At 39.0% G+C, this 26,614-nt stretch overlaps 1 long non-coding RNA gene across 1 annotated transcript in view; it reads right to left on the reverse strand.

Annotated features, from left to right (window-relative positions):
- Positions 1-17,419: 17,419 nt before the first annotated feature.
- DMP1-AS1 (DMP1 and DSPP antisense RNA 1) overlaps positions 17,420-26,614 on the reverse strand; it is a 164,356-nt gene continuing 155,161 nt past the window's right edge. The window contains exon 4 of the long non-coding RNA NR_198971.1: positions 17,420-17,894. This is a non-coding gene — a long non-coding RNA (DMP1 and DSPP antisense RNA 1). The remainder of the gene's footprint in view (positions 17,895-26,614) is intronic.

A 26,614-nucleotide genomic window follows, 5' to 3' on the forward strand; every position in this document is an offset into this window, starting at 1 on the left:
TGTTAGAATAAATTGTATTTGTTCATTTTTAATTTTATGGAAGTCTTAGGTTCTCTAAGTCCTGGAGCTTGAGGACCCAACTGGCAAGCATGAAGGGCTGGAAAATCCTATTGTTAACTGACAAAATATCTTTTCATAAGAGTTTATGCAAGCTAAAAGAATATATCTGAAGACAGGATTATGTGCTTTTCTACAAAGTTCTCTTACAGTTTTTAAGGGGATGTTAGTGATTAGGATACAGCACTGGTCTTTTTTTTGTTGTTGTTGTTTGTTGTTTTCTTTTGAGATAGTCTTGCTGTCGCCCAGGCTGGAGTGCAGTGGCACGATCTTGGCTCACTGCAATCTCTGCTTCCTGGGTTCAAGCGATTCTCTTCCCTCAGCCACCCAAGTAGCTGGGATTACAGGCACATGCCACCATGACTGGCTAATTTTGTATTCTTAGTAGAGATGGGGTTTTGGCATGTTGGCCAGGCTGGTCTTGAACTCCTGACCTCAGGTGATTTGCCCACATTGGCATCCCAAAGTGCTGGGATTACAGACGGGAGCCACTGCACCCGGCCACAGCACTGGGTTTAAAGGAGATCTTAGAGAAGAATTTGTTCCCCTTAGCAAGCTGGAAACACTTTAGATGCAGGAGATTAACTTGGTTAGGTCATGGTCCTTCCCATTGTGTTATTTCTTAGATTTTTATATGTTTTCTTAAAAGAGGAGAAATATTCTGTCTATATTAATTAAATTGGGAGAAAATGAAATTTACTTTCTATTTACACCCAGTTTCACTCAGAGTAACACCCCAAGTCCTCACATTGGTCTCCAAGTTCTTGAGGCTACGGTGCAGTAACTGTGCTGACCTCATCTCTTGCTATTGTCCCCCCACTCACTTACTCACTCTGCTGCAGAACGCTGGCCTCCCTGCAGCTCTTCACACCCCTCAGACACACTCTTGATGGGGAGCCTTTGTGTTTGCTCCTCCTGCTTGGAATGCTCTTCCCTAGTTTACCTACTTGGCTTACTCTCTCACCAACCTCCTCTTTATTCCAGTTTCTCCTCAATGAGACCTCTCCGCCCACATTATTTAATTCTGAAAACCATACTTTTTCCTTATTCCCTTAGGTCTTAATCCTTCTTCCCTGCCCAAATTTTTTCTCCTTTTTTAAAACATAGAATAATGATCTTTTAACAAACTATTTACTCATTTATAATGCATTGTGTTTATTTCCAACCTGCCCTTGCTAGAATGTAAATTTCTCAGGGGCAGAGATTTTTGTCTGTTTTATTCACTATTGTGTCTCAAGAGTCTAAAACAGTGCCTGGCTCTGTGTGAAGCCACACATCATTGTTGAATAAGCAAGTGGGTTGGTTAAGCATAAGCAGGGACAGAGAGGCTTTTATGAGGAATTTGTAGCTGTCAAAAGAATAGCTTGAAGGCCAGGTGTGGAGGCTCATGCCTGTAATCCCAGCACTTTGAGAGGCCGAGGCGGGTGGATCACCTGAGGTCAGGAGTTTGAGACCAGCCTGGCTAACATGGCAAAACTCCATCTCTACTAAAAATACAAAAAATTAGCTGGGCGTGGTGGCGGGCGCCTGTAATCCCAGCTACTTGGGAGGCTGAGGCAGGAGAATTGCATGAACCTGGGAGGTGGAGGTTGCAGTGAGCCAAGACTGTGCCATTGGACTCCAGCCTGGGGGACAGAGCAAGACTCTGTCTCAGAAAAAAAAAAAAAAAAAAAAGAATAGCTTGAAGACACCCACAAAAGTAGGACAGAAGGAAGGTAAAATGGAGATGGAGGAAACACATACAGATGATCCTTGACTACGATGGTTCAACTCACAATTTTTCAACTTTATGATAATGCAAAAGCTATATGCATTCAGCAGAAACCATGCTTTGAGTACACTTACTGTTCTTTTTTTGACTTTCAGTACAGAATTCAATAAATTACATGAGAAATTCAACACTTTATTACAAAATAAGCTTTGTGTTAGATGATTTCGCTCAACTGTGGGCTAACATAAGTGTTCTGTGTATGTTTAAGGTAGGTTCAGTTTTCTAAATGCATTTTTGATTTAGGATATTTTCAGCCTACAATGGGTTTATCAGGAAGTAACTCCATCATAAATCGAGGAACATTTATATTGCCCTTACAATTTTTTCTAGGGTTTACCTTGCTGACAGATATCTGAGGTATAGGGAAATGCCTGGATATAGGTGCTCAGGGGCGGCTGTTTCTAGTGAATTTTAGGGGAGTGTGTATGTGACAGAGACAAGAGGAAGAAGGGAAGGCATCGCAATGAATATAGCTAAGAAACATCCCATCACTCCCTTGATCTTTTATCCTTCCAACCTTCATGCACTCAACTTTTGTGCTTGTACCTGCAGCACACCATTGGTTTTATTTTTATAGTCAGACAAAGATGACAAACATAAGATATCTCTGGATAGAACTTTAAATACCTCTCAGGGCCATAATGAGACAAAACAACTTCATTTTTACCAAACACAAGACAAAGATGACTGGCTTACCAGACCAAACAATCTACCTGCTCACCTGTGTGGAACTGTTTTAACTCGATATTCCAGTGTGCTCCTGCTGAATTAGAAGAAAGAATGGAAAAGCTACTAGAAGATGAAAAAGTCATGTTAGTTTATGCTTTCCCCAACAAACAGCAGATGCTGCTAGTAAGCATCTTTTATGTGTGCAGCTCGGAGCCTGAGCTCTGTATTTGTTTGGGGGATAGGAATCAGACTGTCTGGGTTTAAATCTTGTTTCCACTACTCACTAGCTGTGTGACTTAAGGAAAGTTATCTGATCTTTTAAATCCCGTTTTACCATGTGTAAATAGCACCGTGAGATTATTGTGAGGATATACATGTGAAGTGTCTAGCACAGTGCCTTAATAAAGAGCATCTATTAGGCCTGCTCTATAATATAGGCAGTTAGGCTGCCTACTTTTTTTTTTTTTTTTTGAGGTGGAATCTCACTCCCATTGCTCAGGCTGGAGTGCAGTGGCATGAACTTGGCTCACTGCAACCTCTGCCTCCTGGGATCAAACGATTGTCCTGCCTCAGCCCCCTGAGTAACTGGGACTACATTTGTGCCACCACGCCAGGCTACTTTGTGTATTTTTTAGTAGAGACGGGGTTTCACCACATTGGCCAGGCTGGTCTCAAACTCCTGACCTCAAGTGATCTACCTGCCTCAGCCTCCTAAAGTGCTGGGATTACAGGCACGAGCCACCATGCCAGGCCAGGCTGCCTATCTTAAAATTCTGGTATTATTCTGTACTTGTTATGAAATTTAGGGCAAGATACTTCACCTCACTTTGCTTCAGCTTCTGCATTTTCTTTTCTTTTTTCTTTCTTTTTTTAAAAAAATATTTTGTAGAGATGGTGTTTCACCACATTGCCCAGGCTGGTCTCAAACTCCTGATCTCAAGCGATCTGCCCACTTCAGTCTCCCAGAGTGCTGGGATTCCATGTATGAGCCACTGCATCTGGTTTCAGAGTCCTCATTTTCAAAAGAGGCAAATTAATTACTATGCAGAATTGTTATGAAGATCCAATGAAATTATTTAGGAAAATAAGAAAGACTTGGCACGTGCAAGTGTGCAGTAAAAGACAAACTTTATTACTATTTTTTCCTCCTATTTTTTTTAACTGTGGTAAAAAAAATACTGTGGCATGTGATATACGTAACAGAAAATGTACCAACTTAACCATTTTTAAATGTATCTCTCAGTAGTATTAAATACATTTATAATGTTCAACCATCACTGCCATCCAACTCCAGAACTCTTTCCAACTTGTAAAACTGAAGCTCTGTTGGGGCGTGGTGGCTCAGGCCTGTAATCCCAACACTTTGGGAGGCCGTGGTAGGTGGATCACTTGAGGTCACGAGTTCGAGACCAGCCTGACCAATATGGTGAAACCCTGTCTTTAATAAAAATACAAAAATTAGCCAGGCATGGTGGTGCACGCCTGTAGTCCCGGCTACTCGGGAGGCTGAGACAGGAGAACTGTTCGAACTGGGGAGGCGGAGGTTGCAGTGAACCAAGATTGTGCCACTGCACTCCAGCCTGGGTGACAGAGTGAGACTCCATCTCAAAAAAAAAAAAAAAGACCAAAAAAAACGGAAACTCTATACACATTAAACAATAATACCTCATTCCCCACCCTCCTCCCAGTCCCTGGCAACCATCATTCTCCTTTCTGTCTCTCTGATTTGACCACTACTATAAGTATGTCATATGAGTGGAATCAGTGTTTTTTTGTGACTGGCTTATCTCACTTAGCATAATGTCTTCAAGTTTCATTCATGTTGTAGCACATGCCAGCATTTCCTTCATTTTTAAGGCTGAATAATATTCCATTGTATAAATATCCCCCATGCTTATCTATTCAACTGTTGATGTACATTTCGGTTGCTATTGTGAATAATACAGCTATGAACAGGGGCATATAAACATCTCTTTCAGACCCTACTTTCAATTATTTTTGGTGTCTACTCAGAAATGGAATTGTAATCATATAGCAATTTTATCTCTAACTTTTTGAGGGACCACCATACTGTTTTCCCTAGTGGATGTACCTTTTTACATGTATTCCCATCAACAATGTATAAGAGTTCCAATTACTCTACATTCTTCTCAACACTTGTAATTTTCTGGCTTTTTCTTTTTGGATAGTGGCCATCCTAATAGATGTAAGGTGGTAACTTGTCTTACTCTTTTGTTTTTGAGATGGGGTGTCATTCTTTCACACAGGCTGGAGTGCAGTGGTGCAATCTTGGCTCACTGCAACCTCCACCACTCAATCTCAAGCGATCCTCCCACTCCAGCCTCCCGAGTAGCTGGGACCACAGGCTCACACCACCATGCCTGGCTAATTTTTTGTATTTTTGGTAGAGATGGGGTTTCACCATATTGCCCAGGCTGGTCTTGAATTCCTGAGCTCAAGTGATCCACCTGCCTTGGCCTCCCAAAGGCCTGGGATTATAGGCGTGAGCCACTGTGCCTGGTTGGTTAACTTATCTTACTTTTGTCTACAACTACAATTCCTGCTACTACTATCGCTATTACTACAACCATGGCTGCTGCTTCTACTATATTTACTAAGCAATGTGAGAAAGTTGAAAAAAATTAAAAACATAAATTTTACTCTCAAGGAGACTTCTGTTTGTTATAGTTAAAACCAATTTTCCTCATCTTCCTATCCATATTCCTTTGTTTATCCCTGAAGTGCAATCACTTACCAACAGGAACTGGTAAATGCCATCAACATACTAGAGTAAGAGGAGGGAATGTACTTCAGACTCTTGCCTCTAGAAGCAGCCATAGAGTTCCTTAATTACAAGTCAGACAGGATCCTGGATTGCAAAAGTTCCCGTTTTCTACTTTATTTCAATTGTGAACTTGGACTTGGTAATATACTGAAAATAATGGAAGGGATGATGAAGAGCTGGCTATAAATGAGAAAGAACTGGTCATTGTGGGAGAGACTATGAGTTGTCTACCAGTATCTGTTCTGTCCTTTTTTCTTTAGCATCAAAACTCCTGAGTCATAGCTGGGCATGCTGCTTTCCAGCTGGAGTCTATATTTCCCACATTCACTTGCAGTAGCTGTGCCCTTATGACTAAGTTCCTGGCAGTAGAATAGCAGTAGAAGTGATGTGTGCCAGTTTTACATCATGCCCTTGAAATAAATGAGTAACACAAACTTATTTTCTTTCTTCTTATTGCCTGAGAGGTAGATATGATGGAGGGTTCTGGGGCAGCCATTTTAGAGCCAGCGATCGAAGGTGTGTAATGGGCATGGCAGAGATGCCCTCCCAGTCTCAGATCGTCTATCTATGGACTGTTACATGTGAGAGAGCAATAAACTTCTACTTTGTATTAGCCACTGAATTTTGAGATATCTTAGCTTAATCTATAACAAATACAGACAAATTAACTCAATAAAACCGGCATTCTACTCAACCACAATAATAAAGAAAGACAATTTCAAATAGTTTGAATGTAATGCAGACATTTTCAGAAAGGAAATACATTAGCCTTTGAAGTAGACCAATTAAAATTCAAGAAACCATATTAAGTTTTGAGTTTCCAAGTATTTTCCAAATCTTTTTCTCGTAGTTCTTTGTCCCATAATGAAGGTCTAGCTCTAGTGATCAGTGGTGATGCACAGTTATATTTGCAATGTTATCAATTACCAAAACTCTTTTGGGTTTTTGGTTAAATGCTATTTTGTATGATTAGAACTCTAACAAGTAGCAATGTGATCATCTACATAGCCTGTACTTAGGGTTTTAAAATACTCTGTCCATGGATAGAGTGGTGTAGACATCAAAGTATTATAGACCCTAAAATTTAGAGTAAAAACTACCTCTGTGGTCAGTGCAATCACATGCTGAGGACTCCTAAGTCTGATTTACTCGGGACATGTATTGCTTTCACATTTCAAAACAAGCTTTAAAAAAATTCAATCTAAGGTTGCAATTGGTTATTTACCAGTTTAGAATTATCCTATAATTTAGAGGTAGTTTTCTGCTCTGTGAGAGTTGGTCCACAGCATCTCTAGGAAGTCAGCATTTTAAAATATAATCAATGAAAATTAATACACTTGGGAATTAGCATGTTAATGGAACTTGAAAGAAGAAGGCTCATGTTGCAATGTTACCTTTAGAAGAAGGTAAGTAACCCTTTTATAGAAAGGGGATTAATAGTGGGTCTTTTTCTGTAGCATGGTCAATGGCCAAAGAATGATTTTGCTTCATAGACTGTGATTGTGATTCATTAGGGAATACCTAAAATGAAGGGAGCTTTCTATCCAGCCGGCTTAGCTTCATAAATATGCCTGTAAGAACATCCCACGTCCTGTACTTTCCTTCTGCAAATATTTGCTCTGAGGTTTGTGCTCTTGGGTGATCCACCAAGCCAGAGGAAATGAGTACCCTTCCCCTGGGCAAGCTTTGTCAGATATAGTTATACTTGATATGCTAGCTTGTAGATACATCTCTTGGGAGTTTGGCATGGCTCAATGCCTGTATATTCTTCTATCTCTAGGTCAATGAATAAAATAGCTCCTAGTCCCCAAAGCTGGGAGCAGATCATTGACCTCAGTGTAAGCCATTCACTGAGAGTCAGTTTGAAATAGCCATTCCTGAGTTCAAATTATCACATTTACCTTATACTAACTTTATGTTTAGGAAGCACTATTTTAATTTAAATAGTTCTCAATTTTAAATTGGGCATGCAAAGAAAGGAAAGGTAATGCTCTTAAAAATAAACGATTTCTCCTCTACATACATAGTAGCATGGGAAAAAATATTGATAATATTAAATGCTGTTGAGAATGCAGAGATACTTAGATCTCTCATACTGAGATCTCTCATAAATTGGGGCATCTACTCTGGAAAAGAGTTTGGCAGTTTCATATAAAATTAAACATTACTTACCATACATTCTAGCATATGCAATCTTGGGCATTTATCCTAGAGAAATGAAAACTTATGTTCACACAAAAACCTGTACACAAATATTTTCTGCGGCTTTATTTGCAATAACTCTAGGTGGAAACAACCCAAGTGTCCTTCAAAAGGTGGATGGATAAAGAAACTGAGGTAAATCTATACAATGGAATTCTATGCTGAAATATAAAGGGGTGAAGTATTCATATAGCACGTCAGCTTGGATAGATCTTAAGGGTATTATGCTAAGTGAAAAATGCCAGTCTCAATGGGTTACATAAGATATGATTCCACGTATATCACATTCTTGAAATGGTAACATTTTTAAAGATCAGGTAATGGAGACAGATCAGTGGTTGCCAAGGATTAAGGATGAGGATGGAGAGCGGGTGCGGCTATAAAGGGGTATCACAACAGAGCTCCTTTGTGGTGATGGAATCTATACGTGAGATAACATTTCATAGAACTATGCAAAACAATGACTGCATGTGAAAACCAATGGAATTTTAGTAGTCTATAGTCTAGTTAGTAGTATTCCTGGTTTTGATAATGCATTATACTTAAGTAAGATGTTACCTTTGGGGGAAACTGGGGGAAGGGCCCGCAGGACCTTTCTGTACTATTTTTTGCAATTTTTCTTGAGTTTATAATTATTTCAATAAATTAAAAATAATGACTACATTAACACATAAGCCATGACAGATTTCTTTCTTTCTTTACAAGGGAGCAATGCAATAGGAGGGAAAATGCCAAACTGCAAATTAAAAGAGTTCTGCTTTTATATGTCTGTCCCTCTGGGAATATTTCTTCTGAAGAAAGATTTCCCGGGATAAAGTTTGAAAACCACTTCTTAAAAGATTGTGGAAATTTCTTGAGACAATAAAAATCAAATCATGTGAAATCATTTAGTTTTTAATCAAGAAAAGGAGTTGTATTTTAGAAGGTGATCTGATACATTATTTGTTACAATCAAGGTTATACCTTCCAAGGGAAGTGATTACAAATAGCCACATAATTTAGACATGGTATTAGAATTCGTTGGTTTGTTATGAAATCACAGATGCTGATTTAACCCTAGCTAATATACTGTTTGCTGCATTGCAGAGAAATGAAATTGTTAGAGGACTCATCCTAGCAGTCACTTAAAACTGGCAGTTAGCTGGTGGCGTCATGATTTTTTGATCTGAGATCCAGATAGACAAGACACAGGATTTGTTGCCAAAGCAAACTGCATCTCTAGATACTCCAGCACTATTTATTTGCATTCATAAAATTTTGCTCTCATTCAGATATTTTGAACTGCAGAGCAGTTTGTGGTGGTTGTCCATTGCCTTGTGTAGCATGTACACAATGTTTTGTGTAGCATCTGTGGAGGCAAAGCTTTCTTGATAGGCTCTGTACAAATGGGGTTTGGATGGTTCACTGTCTGTGTTCAGCATATCTATCCAGAGCCCCAATTCGTCTCTCCTTCCGGTGACCGATGCCTGATTACTACTGTGGTACCTAGGCAGGGCCTCCGGGTAATTATAGAGTCGGCTCTGTGGTTGTCTTCCAGGAAATGGCAAGTACCAGTTGCCCTAGTGTGTCCCTGCAGACTTCACTCAAGGGACAACAGGAAACAAATGCCATATAAGGGCATCCCACGGCAGCTGCTGCTTTTCTGAGGACAATTGGAAGGTAGACAGGTTCTCTTTTGCCATTTCCATTACCCCTTTCTAGATCAATTTTAGCTCATTATTAAGAAAAATGTGTGGATATATGATGATCCTCAAAAGGACCTACATGAACTTTTCTTTTATCTTTTCTTTCTTCTTTTTCTTTTTCTTTCTCTTTTTTTTTTTTTTTTTTGAGACAGAGTTTTGCTCTTGTCACCCAGGCTGGAGTGCAATGGCACAATCTCGGCTCACTGCAACCTCCACCTCCCCGGTTCAAGTGATTCTCCTGCCTCAGCCTCGTGAGTAGCTGGAATTACAGGCGCCTGCCACTATGCCCGGCTAATTTTTGTATTTTTAGTAGAGATGGGGTTTCACCATGTTGGCCAGGCTAATCTCGAACTCCTGACCTCAGGCGATCTGCCTGCCTCAGCCTAAGTGCTGAGATTAGAGGCATGAGCCACCACGCCTGGCTACATGAAATTTTGCACCAGAGTTTTAGATACTTGCTGTTGACTTTCTTCTATTTACAGTGACTCTGAGAATGTATTTGCAGCTTTTTAAATATTATTAGCTTTCTGCTAAGTCTCCTGGAAAGTCCTTAAAAGAGTTTCTCTGTTTTTATCATTTATTTGAGAGAACAGTAGCTTTATTAGCTTGTAGCCAGAAATAGATTTTAACGTTATAACTCAATTCCCAGAATTAAATTTATCAGTTGTAGAAATTCAGCTCTGAACTGTTAACTTTTGCTGTATGATGTGAAATGAGAGCAGGAGGAGAGGAAGTATGTTACTGGCAGAAGACAAGTCAGACAGGATCTTCTCAGGTATCCTCATAGTCAATTGCTCTTGGCAACTTGTTCCATTTTCCTACCATCAGAGGAAGTTGACAGGATGTCATAACATGAAAGGAGGCCGTTGTAGGAAAAGCTTTGGAATGCCATGGACTATTATGTGGCCATTAAAAATAATGAATTAGAGGGCATCCAAATAATTTGCAGGAATTTCCATAAATTATTGTCGAATGAGGAAAACAAGAGGCCAAAGAGTGTGATGCTGTATGGAGCACTCAGCACTAGTCTCTCTTGCTCGCAGGTTGTACGTTTGGCAGGAGTAGCAGCTAAATCAACCTTGATGAATGGGAACCTAGGTTGGACATATGCATAGCCTCTCTCCCTGCCATGATGGTTACTTCATCCACTTGGCCATCTGATTGGGGTTGCTGATGACAGAGGCTGACTGATGTGAGTTGGCTGAGTCATTTTGTCTATGACTGGCTGTTTGGTGTTCCTTCCATGTTGGCACTCTTTGGTGGGTGTTAACATGTCTCATGAAACTCTTCATTCTTCATGCTTGTTCTTTAATGTCCAACTGCATGTCTATTTCCAACATCTCCTTTTTCTAGATTTTCCAATCTTTTCCTTTTTTAAGCCCCTGTGGTGGGTTGAACAGTGTCCCCCCAAAATTCATGTCCACCTCAAACCTCAGAATGTGACCTTATTTGAAAATAGTGTCTTTGCAGATGCAATTGGTTAAAAATCTTGAGATGAAACATCTTGGAATCGTCCTGAACATATCTTGACTTGTGTTTTTATAAGAAGAGGAGAGCACAAGAGAGCTCCATAGGGAAGAAGGTGATATGACAACAGTGGCAGAAATTGGAATGATGAGTCTGCAAGTCAAGGAACACCAAGAATTGCCAGCAATCACCAGAAGCTAGGAGAGAGGCCCGGGATGCTTTCTTCCTTGGAGCCTCCAGAAAAACCAACCCTGCTGACAACTTGATTTCAGACTTCTGGCCTCCTAAACCATGAGGGAGTAAATTATTTTTATTTTTTTTGTAGAGACAGAGTCTTGCTACATTGCCCAGGCTGATCTTGAACTCCTGGCCTCAAGAGATCCTCCTGCCTTGGCCTCCCAAAGCTCTGGAATTATAGGAGTGAATCACTGTACCCAGCCAAGAGGGAGTAAACTGAAGCTGCTCAATTTGTGGTCATTTCCATGGCAGCTCAGTGAAACTAGTACAGTCCCTGACCAGCAGGCCATGCGTTGGCCACTGTCCATAAGTCCATGTATATTTTAATCTTGGATCACTTCCTTTTTTGTACAAAGTGGATGATCAGGTACCCAGCTTGAAGCTCTAATCATGTGGAAAATTTCTCTTACCACCACCCTTCAAGGCTATCCCTTAAACTTCTATGACAGCAGATGTCTCTGACAATAAATTTAATATATTAAAACTGAAAATGTCTGAATATTAAAAGATATTTTGAAGAAAGTGGAAAAATAAACTGAGACAAAATATTCATGACACCCTGGCAAAGAATTGATAGCAATAATATCTAAAGGACCTAAAGGACATCTGTAAGCTAATAAAGAATGGCCATACCAGTGATTTAAAAATGGACAAAAGCCATGAATAGGAAGCTCACAGAAGAGATAAAACATATGGCCAATAAACCTACAAAGAGATACTCAAGTTCATTAGTGATCAGTGAAATGGATAACCAAAAATCAGGATGACAATGAGATACTATTTTAAACATAGTAAATTGGCAAGTTTAAAAAGTCTAATAACACAAAATATTGGGAAGGTTGTGGATCAGTAGATTAGTTTATAGTTTGCTGGTGGGAGTGTTCAACCACTTTAGCAAGGAATTTGGCATTATCTCTTAAAGCTGGAGACTCATATATCTATGATGAGTAATTCTACACTGGGCATATACTCAAAAGAAATTATTGCAGGTGTACATTAGGAGACATCTACAAGAATGTCCATGGAAGCATTTCTGTTTGAAATAGCAAAAGCTTTGAAAAAAACTTACATGCCTCATGACAGGAGAAGAGATAAATTGTGGTACCTTCATACAATAAAATATCTTACTGGAAAGAAAATGAATATAAACGATGCTAGAAATATAATTTGAATAAAAATTAAGCTCTCAAAAGGTTACATGTACTACAAAACACATTTTAAAAAGTTACAAACAACATGAAGGGTTGTTGAATTTTGTCAAAGGCTTTTTCTGCATCTATTGAGATAATCATGTGGTTTTTGTCTTTGGCTCTGTTTATATGCTGGATTACATTTATTGATTTGCGTATATTGAACCAGCCTTGCATCCCAGGGATGAAGCCCACTTGATCATGGTGGATAAGCTTTTTGATGTGCTGCTGGATTCGGTTTGCCAATATTTTAGGTATTGATGGGACGTATTTCAAAATAATAAGAGCTATCTATGACAAACCCACAGCCAATATCATACTGAATGGGCAAAAACTGGAAGCATTCCCTTTGAAAACTGGCACAAGACAGGGATGCCCTCTCTCACCGCTCCTATTCAACATAGTGTTGGAAGTTCTGGCCAGGGCAATCAGGCAGGAGAAGGAAATAAAGGGTATTCAATTAGGAAAAGAGGAAGTCAAATTGTCCCTGTTTGCAGACGACATGATTGTTTATCTAGAAAACCCCATCGTCTCAGCCCAAAATCTCCTTAAGCTGATAAGCAACTTCAGCAAAGTCTCAGGATACAAAATCAATGTACAAAAATCACAAGCATTCTTATACACCAACAACAGACAAACAGAGAGCCAAATCATGGGTGAACTCCCATTCACAATTGCTTCAAAGAGAATAAAATACCTAGGAATCCAACTTACAAGGGATGTGAAGGACCTCTTCAAGGAGAACTACAAACCACTGCTCAAGGAAATAAAAGAGGACACAAACAAATGGAAGAACATTCCATGCTCATGGGTAGGAAGAATCAATATCGTGAAAATGGCCATACTGCCCAAGGTAATTTACAGATTCAATGCCATCCCCATCAAGCTACCAATGACTTTCTTCACAGAATTGGAAAAAACTACTTTAAAGTTCATATGGAACCAAAAAAGAGCCCGCATCGCCAAGTCAATCCTAAGCCAAAAGAACAAAGCTGGAGGCATCACACTACCTGACTTCAAACTATACTACAAGGCTACAGTAACCAAAACAGCATGGTACTGGTACCAAAACAGAGATATAGATCAATGGAACAGAACAGAGCCCTCAGAAATAATGCCGCATATCTACAACTATCTGATCTTTGACAAACCTGAGAAAAACAAGCAATGGGGAAAGGATTCCCTATTTAATAAATGGTGCTGGGAAAACTGGCTAGCCATATGTAGAAAGCTGAAACTGGATCCCTTCCTTACACCTTATACAAAAATCAATTCAAGATGGATTAAAGATTTAAACGTTAGACCTAAAACCATAAAAACCCTAGAAGAAAACCTAGGCATTACCATTCAGGACATAGGCGTGGGCAAGGACTTCATGTCCAAAACACCAAAAGCAATGGCAACAAAAGCCAAAATTGACAAATGGGATCTAATTAAACTAAAGAGCTTCTGCACAGCAAAAGAAACTACCATCAGAGTGAACAGGCAACCTACAACATGGGAGAAAATTTTCGCAACCTACTCATCTGACAAAGGGCTAATATCCAGAATCTACAATGAACTCAAACAAATTTACAAGAAAAAAACAAACAACCCCATCAAAAAGTGGGCGAAGGACATGAACAGACACTTCTCAAAAGAAGACATTTATGCAGCCAAAAAACACATGAAGAAATGCTCATCATCACTGGCCATCAGAGAAATGCAAATCAAAACCACTATGAGATATCATCTCACACCAGTTAGAATGGCAATCATTAAAAAGTCAGGAAACAACAGGTGCTGGAGAGGATGTGGAGAAATAGGAACACTTTTACACTGTTGGTGGGACTGTAAACTAGTTCAACCATTGTGGAAGTCAGTGTGGCGATTCCTCAGGGATCTAGAACTAGAAATACCATTTGACCCAGCCATCCCATTACTGGGTATATACCCAAAGGACTATAAATCATGCTGCTATAAAGACACATGCACACGTATGTTTATTGCGGCACTATTCACAATAGCAAAGACTTGGAACCAACCCAAATGTCCAACAATGATAGACTGGATTAAGAAAATGTGGCACATATACACCATGGAATACTATGCAGCCATAAAAAATGATGAGTTCATATCCTTTGTAGGGACATGGATGAAATTGGAAACCATCATTCTCAGTAAACTATCGCAAGAACAAAAAACCAAACACCGCATATTCTCACTCATAGGTGGGAATTGAACAATGAGATCACATGGACACAGGAAGGGGAATATCACACTCTGGGGACTGTGGTGGGGTCGGGGGGAGGGGGGAGGGATAGCATTGGGAGATATACCTAATGCTAGATGACACATTAGTGGGTGCAGTGCACCAGCATGGCACATGTATACATATGTAACTAACCTGCACAATGTGCACATGTACCCTAAAACTTAGAGTATAATAAAAAAAAAAAAAAAAGAAAAAAAAAAAAAAAAAAAGTTACAAACAACTAAAACTACCCAATATGCTTTTTAAGAAATATTTATATTATGGTAAAACTGTAGTTCTAAAAAGCAAAGGGAAGACTAATACAAGTTGCAAGGTAGTGGTTACCTCTGGCGGAGGGAGGCAGGGTATGAGATAGGGAAGATAACATTGGAGGATGTTACAAATTATGAATGTTTCCATTGTCATGCAGGGTGGTGTATACACAGGTATTTATTGCATAACAAACAAATTGTTCAACAAACAAATAGGTAAATAAATAAATAAATAAAAAGAAGGCCATGCCTGAACCAAGGATGAGACCATGTCATGAACCAAGTTTTATGATTAATTAAATTTTAGGCATCCAGCATTAGAAACACAACTACTGGATTTTTGATTGGGCAGAGATGTTTCTGGTTGAACCAGCAATGGAAGCAGGAAGAGCCCTAAACCTGGGGCAAGGGGAGAGACAGGATGTGGTGTGAAAGAGAAAGGAAAGAATCCCCAAGAAAGTCACACAAGTGGCCTAAAGGGAAAGGCTTGTGAGAAATCCCCTGTAGGAGCTGGTCCAGGAGCTTGGAAAAGAGAGCTGTCTAGGGGTCTATTTGAAGTTGTTTCCTGTTCTGATCCTTGGTATAAGTAATCTCCAGTATCCAAAGCCCACAGTAAAACTCTACTACATAGTTAAAATACATAACAAATAACAAACTCTCTTCATTCAATCACTCGTTCATTATATGCTTATTTATTGGGTTCCTATGGCATGGGGCACAGCATTTAGCAGCAAACAAAACAGACCAAGTCTTTGTTCTCGTGGAGTTAATACATCATTTTCCAGATGATACTAAATGCAATGGCAAACAATGAAGCTGTGTAACAGATTTAGGGAGAGCCGGGAGTGGAGGTGATTTATATCAGTGGTGCTTGGCCAGAATGAAGAGAAAGCAAGTGCAGGGATGGCTACCCGCATAGTGGAGTGGGGACAGAGGAAGGGGGATAGATAGTGAGTGGGGATTTGGAATTCTGCAGGAGCAGGGATTTGGCATCTAGGAGAACGTAAGTCCTCTTTACAGCAAACTGTGGGAACATTGGAGAAGGCTCTGGATTTCCCACCATACACAGAATTTGGCTTGTATTACTTAGTTTGTAAGTTAAAGGCAAAGTTAATTCTAAAAATTAGAGAACTTGGGGCGTCTGCCATTATACTTCTGTTTTTCTACTTTCTTTTGTATCAGTGGTTCTTAATCTGAAGGAGCAGTAGAGAGGAGCATGGGCATTTGTGCTTTGGAAGAGCTTTCCCAGTAATTCTGATATACCTCCTCTTCCTGCTTCCTCCCTGCCCCACATAACTCATGCCTCCATCGGTAAACATTGCTTATTTACAATAGTCATTCCTGGCTTAATTATCCTAGGGTAGCTCAAATAATCTCAGGCTATAATTTTTCCTTAACAAAGTAATAAATAAAATCATTGACAACATATTTAATTAAATATTTAGATTTTTAATTTAAATTTAAACATTTCAAAAGGTTGATAACATGTTTAAATTAAAAGCAACCTAGCAGAACATTTATTAGAAAACAGTAGAATTGTTAAATGAAATGCCAGGTTCCTCAATGCCCCACCTTAAGAATCATCATGTTAGAGATTGTTTTAAAATCATTTTCTTGATCCTCTTTAACAATGGCTTCATTTTTTATGACAATATTTGTTTCCAGTATGTTGGAAATGAAACTGGACAAAACAGTTAGATGAATGCTGAATTAGCATAAAGGTCTCTTTTTTGATTTCATCTGTGTGTTTAAAGTTAATGTGTTGAATGCTTAGTACTTGCCAGGAAATATTTTAAGCATTTTGTGTGTATTATTTAATGTTCACAATATCTCCATGAATTGTATTCATTAATATCCCCACATACAAACAGGGAAACTAAGGTACAGCTTCCTGAAGCTGGTGAGTACAGTGCTAGACTGTTATCCAGGCAGGCTGTTTCCTGAGCTCATGGCTTTAACTCATTTGCAATACTATCTCCAGTAAATACCAATGCAACTAATAGAACAATGTCTCAATATTATCCACCCCATGCATTTCACTTATCTCACTTGTTAAAATGCTTTGAAAAATTTGCTACCTTGAATTTTCAAAGTCTTCCAAGTTCATGATTATCAGCTCATGAATGCTAGAAGAAAAGATGATTCACTGCTGTCCAAATTAAAATGCAGCAGGTTCTAGCTGAAAACAGTCCAGGGTTAGCTGATGACTAAATCTAAATGTCACATAGAATATCCTATTTTATTTTTAGGAGCTCCAGGAAACAAAGATATCCAGGTACAAGCACATTACAAACTCAGTGGGCTTTGCCAGACAGCATAACTTAAGCATTTTATTTTGAGTAGAAAGAACTCACTTTGTGCCCTACAAACGGTCACGCAGTTTACTTTCATACTGTGTTCCTTCGTCTGCGGTTATTATTTCCTTCTAAAGTACACAGATAGAAACATTTGCTTGCATGAAGAAAACTTTTCCACACTCCTATTTTCTTTCCCCACCACATTCCATAGTAAAATAATATATTTTTTTACATCTCAAGTTACTTTTCTCCTTCTATAACTATTTTAGTATTTCCAGGATTTAAAAAACCACACACACACACCCCCACACACACACCCCAATCAGCATCTCTTCAAAAAAAGAAAGTTTGTGAGCTCTTAATTTCTCTATTTTGAAGTTGTTTTCCTCAGCTCCGATAACAAAGTTATCCTTAGGGCATAAGGAAGTAGGCTGTTTACAATTAGTTAACACCAGGTCATCCTTTTTTTGACTTAAACCAGTTTTGGGGCATCAGGTATTCTTAACATTGATGCTGTGAAACTTCTAATGACCACAGGATTCAGAATTGCGCTACCCAAGGCAATGTATAAGTTATATATATTGTAGATATTGAAACAAAAGTGGGACGAACACACCAACCTTATGATGCAAGGTAACATATTCCATTCTATTAAAACAATGCTAATTGGGACCTGTTAAGATGATTTCACAACTCAGAATGAGTGATGGCCCACCATCTGAGAAGCACGGGCCCTAAGCACAGCATCCGTGGATGGTGGATGGCGGTTTTCAACCCAGGCTGAATATTAGAATTACTTGTGAAACTTCTTAGTAGTACAGATCTCACAGAGGCCCTATTAGTTAAGAATATCCAAGGAGTCATAACGAACATTTCTGAAACTTTTCGCTTGACAGATTTGGGAGTACAGTCGGACCCGGGGAGTGACAAGAACAGCAGGTTCATTTGTCACCACGAAGCGAGATAAATGAAATCTGAGGGTGGATCCAGGTTTTGTGGGGCCTGAAGCTCGTACAATTTTGGAATTCTCTGTAAGAAAAATGATACAAAATTAGGCAAGAAGAGAAATATTTTTTGGTGAATGAGAAAACAAACCACTACAAATTACAAATTTTAAAAAGCGGACAAATCCAACAAATACAAAAAATTCACAAAAATAACATTTTTATTAATTGGTTACCTACACAGCTCGTTAATACTTTCTACTTTACATTTATTAGATTCATGCTCATTTGATTTATATTTGGAAATAATAGAAATAACAGAATAACTATCTGGTCTTTCATTTAGTATGGTTGATGGAAGCTTATTTTTTATTGATGATAGTTGAGAAATTTCTTCCAGCTTCACAACTTGTTATTGGAAATGTCAAGTGAATTTCTGCACTGTTGTCTGAATTCGTTTGTTAGGGCTCCCATTACAAAATACCACAGACTGGGTGACTTATACAACATGAATTTATTTTCACAAATTCTGGAGTCTGGATGTTCATGATCAAGGTGTCGGCAGGTTTGGTTTCTTCTGAGGCCTCTCTCCTTGGCTCACAGAAGGACGTCTTCTTGCTGTGTCTTCACATGGCTGTCCCTCTGTGTGTGTTTGTGTCCTAATCTCCTCTTCTTATAAGGACACCTGTTATGCTCCATCAGGGCCCATCTTAATGACTCCATTTTAACTTAATTAGCTCTTTAAAGATATTTTCTCCAAATACAGACACATTTTAAAGTACTGAGGAGGCGTTTTAACTTTATGAATTTTAGGGGGGACACAAATCAGCTTATAACATTGTTAAACTTGCAAAAACATCTTTCAGATACTTTCATATTAAAATTTTCCTTGTGCAGTGATTGATCCTAAGTACTCTGAACTATTGACATTTTAACTAATTTGATGGCTAGGTCCTCATTATATTAGTTTATTGCCATCTCTTTGTAGACATCAAAGCAGCAAAAAAGGAACACATTTTCCAATAATTTATTTTCCGTTATTATTTAGATTTTCTTTTTTTTCCTTTCTTTTGAGATAAGGTCTCACTCTGTTGACGAGGCTGAAGTGCAGTGGTGTGATCATGCCTCACTGCAGTCTTGACCTCCTGGGCTCCAGTGATCCTCCCACCTCAGCCTCCTGAATAGCTGGAACTATAGGTGTGCACCATCAAGCCGGGCTAATTTTTAGTATGTTTCGTAGAGAGGGAGTTTAGCCACGTTGCTCAGGCTGGTCTTGAACTCCTGGACTCAAGTGATCTGCCTGTCTCAGCATCCCAAATTCTTGGGATTACAGGCATGAGCCACTGTGCCTGGCCCATTATTTAAATTTTCAAACAATCCAAGCATTTACTTGTTACTTCTATTTGAAATTTGTCACATTATTTTAATGAATTACTGCTGTTGGTATAATCTAAAAAAAAATTTACAGTTTGTTTCCTCAACATTAATTTCAATTTATTTCATTTTTAATCTGTATTGGTTTTGTTTTATATGCAATTAATTTTTATTTAAAAATTTTCTGCTACTTAATAAATATTTAAATTATAAAAGAACCTATGATTTATATGAGACCAAATCAGAAGTTTGTAACTTGTCCCTGTTTTTTAAAGAAAACATTCCTAAACTTCTTGCCAAATTGCAGTTGAGCTTTATTATAATAAGTATGCCATTTTTTATGAAAAGAGAAAAAAACTTTTTTAACTGTATTTTTTTAATAACTGTATATCCTAACTTATTGGGTATATAATCCTGACAGGACAGAACTTCAGTTTGGACAAGGTAGAGATGAGAACTGAATCCTCCACTACATTTCACATGGCTGATGTGGGAAGCATTTGTACAGACTAACTTCTGTTTCCATACATTTCAAACTTTGTTTCTCATTGACTATCCACATGCTTCCAGTACCAATTGCCATAAGAGATGTTCATTTCTTGAACTGGCTCTGTCCTTACAACTTCAGGATGCCAGGTGAGTTGACACAGTGGGGGGTAGAAGTATTCCTGGAAGCCGTTTCTACACTGGAACAGTTAGCAATGACTTTACTATACACGGAAACGACTGTGAACCACAGAAGTATAGCCCACTCAACTCAAACTGAAAATGTCCCCATGTCACCTTTCACTTTTGCTATTTTCCAAAAGTGCCTGTGGTTACTCCAGCATCAGCGGACATAGGGGAAGTCAGAGTGGAAAGGGACAGAGGACTGAATAAATTGTGGCTAAAATAGCCTGCTTTTGAAGATCTCATAAAAACATGACTATCTGAATATATTGCTAGGGCCCTCCCAGAGTTCTGGAAGGGGCCGTACAAGTTAGGGCAGGGGGTGCTCTGCATCTTAGCCATTTATGCCTAGTGTTCCATTTTTGGAACGCTAAGCATGTGGGAGTTATTTACATCCTACTGCTCAAGATCATCGCCAGGTCTGATTTTTCACACACACAAAATTGCAACCTCTGGCATAGATGGGTTATGGTTCATTATCTTTATGAAAATCTGACTCTGGCGAAGTGTCAGGAAGCTCTGTTGCCCCCCATACCATAAGTGGTTATTTGAGGTTTCTCCCTAGTACAGTGGTTTCCCAAAGTGTGTCTCCAAATTAGTCCATGATGATTTCAATAATGGAAGAAAAAACAAAATGAAAAAGATAAGGACAGTGTGATATGTATGTATCACATGGGGTTGTCAACTGTTCTCCTTGAGAGGGACTGTCATTTCTGAAGGAGAGAATACCTTTCCTATTAATTTGGTGTCAACATATCCTTCCTTATTTGAAATAGTGACACCAATGGAGAGTAAAGTGTCAAGCTGGCAACCTTATGCTGGTCTCTCCCCCTTCTGCTTTTACTATCATAGATTCCATTCAGCCTGTTAGTCCCTTTGGGCTGCTATAGCAAAGTACATAGACTAGGTGGCTTCTAAGAACAGATATTTCTTTCTTCTTTTTAAATATTTTTAATTTATTTTATTTTTATTTTCTATTTCCATAGGTTTTGGGGGAACAGGTGGTGTTTGGTTACATGAATAAGTTCTTTAGTGGTGATTTCTGAGATTTTGGTACACTGATCACCCAAGCAGTTGTACATTGTACCCAATGTGTAGTCTTGTATCCCTCACCCCCCTCTCACCCTTTCCTCAGAGTCCCTGAAGTCCATTGTATCATTCTTATGCCTTTGCATCCTCATAGCTTAGCTCCCACTTATGAGTGAGAACATACAATGTTTGTTTTTCTATTCCTGAGTTACTTCACTTAGAATAATAGTCACCAATTTCATCCAGGTCACCGCGAATGCCATTATTTCAATTACAGACATTTATTTCTCACAGTTCTGGTGGCTAGAAGTCCAAAATCAGGGTGTCAGCACTGTCGGGTTCTGGCGAGGGCCCTTTTCCTGGGTTCTGGCAAGGGCCGTTTTCTCATGTTGTGGACTTCTAGCTGTATTCTAACGTGGTGGAAGGAGAGGATAAGAGAGATCTCCAGGGTCCCTTTTGTAATCTCATTCACGAAGCCTCCACTCCCATGACCTAATCACTTCCTAAAGGTCCCACCTCCAAATACCATCACATTGGTGGTTAGGATTTCAACATAGGAATTTTGGGGGAACAAACATTCAGCCCCTAACAAGGAAGAGAGAGAAAATGGAAGATTGCGTGGGACAATTTCTGGCCAGATCTATCTAGAAGTGCATTCATCTCTCTTTTTTTTTTTTTTTTTTTTTTTTTTGAGATGGAGTCTTGCTCTGTTGCCCAGGCTGGAGTGCAGTGGCACAATCTCGGCTCACTGCAACCACCGCCTCCCGGGTTAAAGCAATTCTCTGCCTCAGCCTCCAGAGTAGCTGGGATTACAGGTGCCTGCCACCACACCTGGCTAATTTTTTGTCTTTTTAGTAGAGACAGGGTTTCACCATGTTGGCCAGGCTGGTCTTGAACTCCTGACCTCACGATCCACCTACCTCGGCCTCCCAAATTGTTGGGATTACAGGTGTGAGCCACTGCGCCCGGCCTGTGCATTCATCTCTTTTGCCTACATTTCTTTGACCAGAACTCAGCCCCATTGTTCCACCCTAGTTATGTGAATAGCTGAGACATGTGTTCCCAGCAGGAGAATGCATTGGCAAACCACAGCATTACCTCTACCATGTGGACTTTTTCTGGATCCTGATAATGTTTTAAGCAGTAGGAGTAGAATATGATTATTATTTTAGGCCTCTAGTCTATTTCATTACTTTTTACCACATAAAGTGACAACCTCAATACCTAAATTTAGTATTGCTTTGTATTGTTGTGTAACAAATTATCACAGATGTACACCATCACCCAATTATTATCTCATAGTTCTGTACATCAGAAGACTGGCATGGCATGGCTGTATTCTCTGCTTAGAGTCTTACAAGTCAGAATCAAGGCATGCTTTTCTGGAGGATCTGAGGAGGAATTCACATCCAAGCTCATTCAGCTTATTGCAGGATTCTGTTCCTTGCTGTGAACCTGGGACTGAGGTTCTGAATTATTTGGCTGTGGCTCTTTCCATCTTCAAGCCAGCAATGGTGTATCAAACCCTTCTCACCTTTGAATTTCTCTGACTTTGTCTTCTGCTTTTAAGGGCTCAGGTGGTTACCTTGGGCCCACCCAAGTACTCCAGGATAATCTTCCTGTTTTAAGGTTTAACTGAGTCATAACCTTAATTACATCTGAAACGTCTCTTTCACTATGTAAAGTTACATATTCATGGCTTGTAATGCCAGGGGTCAAATGTCACTGGGACCAAAATTCTGCCTACTACACCAGGAGTATCTCACAGAGACAGCCTTCCTTCTATTTTCACTCATTTTCCAACTCTGTCAAAGACCCAAGAGAACTCTAGCCTCTCCCAAATGCAGCCGGAAGTACCACATGTTACCAGTTTTGCTCCTCTGTTTGATTACAGGTGTGTGTGGAAGAGTGGGCTGCTCTGTCTCACCACTGGCTGGGTGGGTGAAGAGGGGATGGGAGCACTGGGGAGGGGTCTGGCACTGTAGGTTGTGGTGGTGAGTGACACTACTGTGGTTGAGTCTTCCTTCTTTTAAAAATCAAATGTATTATACTATGGGGCTGACACACGTTCTTTAATGCCACTCTCGCTCATATTCTAACCCATTGGACCAATAAATTAAATAAAAAAGATCTAAAAAGAAAAGCACTCTTTTGTTAACACTAGATAAAAACTGTTTCAGGAATTCTCTCTCTTTAAAACTCACTTTCTACATACATTCAGATCCCAAGAAGTCTCTAGCAACTTGCAAACCTCACAGTCCAAAGTATTGGATATCATTGGTTTTTCTCCTCTACCCAAATGCAGATATCTGAGAGGGTGCGCTGGGGACACGTATCTGACATATTTTGAGGAGAGCTTATTAACAAAATTACAGTGCTCATAGGCAAGAGTAATGTGTTACATGCTTCTTTGTAACTCTAAAAAGAAACTTATCATCAGAGTGAGCAGGCAACCTACAGAATGGGAGAAAATTTTTGCAATCTATCCATCTGACAAAGGGCTAATATCCAGAATCTACAAGAACTTAAACAAATTTACAAGAAAAAAAACCATCAAAAAGTGGGCAAAGGATATGAATAGACACTTCTCAAAAGAAGACATTTATGCAGCCAACAAACCTGAAAAAATGCTCATCATCACTGGTCATCAGAGAAATGCAAATCAAAACCACAATGAGATACCATCTCACACCAGTTATAATGGTGATCATTAAAAAGTCAGGAAACAACAGATTCTAGAGAGAACGTGGAGAAATAGGAATGCTTTTACACTGTTGGTGGGAGTGTAAATTAGTTCAACTATTGTGGAAGACAGTGTGGCGATTCCTCAAGGATCTAGAACTAGAATTACCATTTGACCCAGCAATCCCATTACTGGGTATATACCCAAAGGATTATAAATCATTCTACTATACAGACACATGCACACATATATTTATTGTGGCATTATTCACAATAAAAAAGACTTGGAACCAACCCAAATTAGACTGGATAAGGAAAATGTGGCACATATACAACATGGAATACTATGCAGCCATCAAAAAGGATGAGTTCATGTTCCTTGCAAGGACAGGGATGAAGCTGGAAACCATCATTCTCAGCAAACTATCACAAGAACAGAAAACCAAACACTGTATGCTCTCACTCATAAGTGGGAGTTGAACAAGGAGAACACATGGACACAGGGAGGGGAACATCACATACCAGGGCTTGTCAGGGGATGGGGGGCTAGGGGAGGGATAGCATTAGGAGAAATACCTAATGTAGGTGACGGGTTGTTGGGTGCAGCAAACCACCATGGCATGTGTATAGCTATGTAACAAACCTGCACATTCTGCACATGTACCCCAGAACTTAAAGTATAGTAATAATAATAATAAAAGACCTTTCCAAGTTGCTATAAACTATAGGGGTGACAAAACTCTACTATTTTCTTAGGGTCTCAACTGGGCTTGAGAATTAAATTGACATAAGAGAGATTAACAGGAGAAAAACATACAAATGTATTTAGTACAAACTTTTTGTGGCATTTGAGCCCTCATAAGTAAATTAAAACTTGAAGAAGCAGAGCCAAACACTTACATACTGAATTGGACAAAGAGTAGTAAATTGCAACAAAGTGGTAAGGTAAAGGGCCTTGGGCTAGGTTAGTCAGTTGGGTAGAGAAGTGGCTGGGAAAATAAGGATTTGCGTAACAGGGTTTGTTTTGTGCCGAGTTCCTTGGCTTCAACTTCCCATCCTTGACCATAAGAATGTTGCTTTCTTTTCTAGTACAGGGAGGACTTTTTTACATGAGAATTTTGTCTCCTGTTTTTAAGAAATAGCATGAAGGTTAGAGTGATCTCGCATCTGCTGTTCTTTTTTTAAGTGCCTTTAACTTCAATATGTCAGAGCAGCATATTTTGGGGTGGCATATTTTTAACACCTTCAGAACATATTAGCAATTTGCTAAATTCTTGCTGAATGAAAGGATGAATGAATGAATAAAACCTGAAGTGTAGTTCAACTGTTGCAACATTATAAGCAAATGAAATTGAAAAAGACAGACCATGTAATGAGGTCAATGTGTGTAAGGAAAGCTATTCATGTCAGAAGAAAGAGCAGGTTCACATCACATATTGCGACTGTGGTTTCAATTGTTATGTCTAAACTCCAGAATGACTTGTTATAAAATTCTGCTTTTTGTGTTCTATGCCTCTAGTTTATGTTTTAAGATGGCATCACACTAACTGCTTCCCATAAAAAGAGTATTCTCATAGAAAAACAGTGTTTTCATAGATAGATAATTATAGTTGTTTGAATTGTCTTTCAAAACTAGACACACCATTTGACTCAAAGTTAGAAATTTATGTTAAGAGGTAAATACGGAAAACTAAATCTAACCTTCTGTTACTTTATGTAGCAGGGAGTCTGCTTCTATGCCCTACTGATCAATTCAGTAGAAAAACGTTTGCTAACATAGTGTTGAGTGGCAATGTAACTAACTACCTGAGTTTTTTGTTTTCCACCAAATGGTTTTAAGATTCTAACAATACAATGAAGATGTTTCTATTTTTAAATTGTACACAGGTATTTTGAAACAATTTGAATTTACATAACAGTTGCCAGAACAGGTAAAAGAATGCTATACAAATAAATAATAAAAACAAATGAATATTAAAATAATAAATAAATAATAATAAAAATAAATAAATAGAAAACTGCTATATCTCTTTCACCCAGATTCCTCACATGTTAACATTTTATTGCATTTGCTTCATCATCTACACTCCATTAATCATCAGTCTCTTTCTGAACCTTTGCAGAGTAAGTTGCAGAAATGACATTCCATGACCCCTGCAAATTCCAGTGTATCACAAAGGTAATGACACTGTCACATAATAGAGCCTATAACTTGTCAAATAAACATGTCAGCATTGATACAACATAACTATCTAATCCGAAGATCCTGTTCAAATCTCACTAAATAGCCCTACAATGTCTCTTTTTCCTTTTTGATTCAGGATTCTATTCAGGAAAAAGTGTTGCATTTAGTTGTCTTCTCTGTTAAGACACCAAGTTGGAATAGTTCCCACTCTTTATTTGCCTTTCATATGCCTGACAGTTTTAAAAAATAGAAGCCTTAGATTCTGTAGGATGATCCTCAGCTTTGGTCCATCTGATGTGTTCTCATGATCAGCCTCAAGACACGCATTGTTGGCAGGGATACCATGGAAATGATGCTGAACCGTTCTCAGTGCATCATGTCAGGAGGCCGGTGATGCTAACCTATCCTATTGCTAGTGCTGGTAACCTGGATCACTTGCTCACGTTGCTCTCTGCCAGAATTCTCCATCTTAAAGTCACCATTTTTCCCTTTATAATTGATCAGTATTTGGGAGATGTATGGGGGTAGTTATTCTGATACTGTACCTCATCTAATCGCCACTCACCAGCTATGGCATCCATTAACAGTTTCTGTCTTGATCAGCCCCCTCTATAGTGGTTGCATAATGGTTGTTCTCTATTTTTCACATTTAATAGCTGACATTCTGTAAGAAAAAACTTTGTCTTCTCCTCCATTTATTTACTTATTCCTTAATTTATTTATATCAGTATAGACTCATGGATTTCTGTTTCATCATGGGTCATACTTCATTAATACCATTATTTATTTTGACTTAAAAATTGTTCCCATCTTGGTCAGTGAGAGCCCTTTCAAGTTGGCTTTTGTACCTTCTGGATGTGTGCCCA

Source organism: Homo sapiens, chromosome 4 (assembly GCF_000001405.40).
Source record: "Homo sapiens chromosome 4, GRCh38.p14 Primary Assembly".
Lineage (NCBI taxonomy): Eukaryota > Metazoa > Chordata > Mammalia > Primates > Hominidae > Homo > Homo sapiens.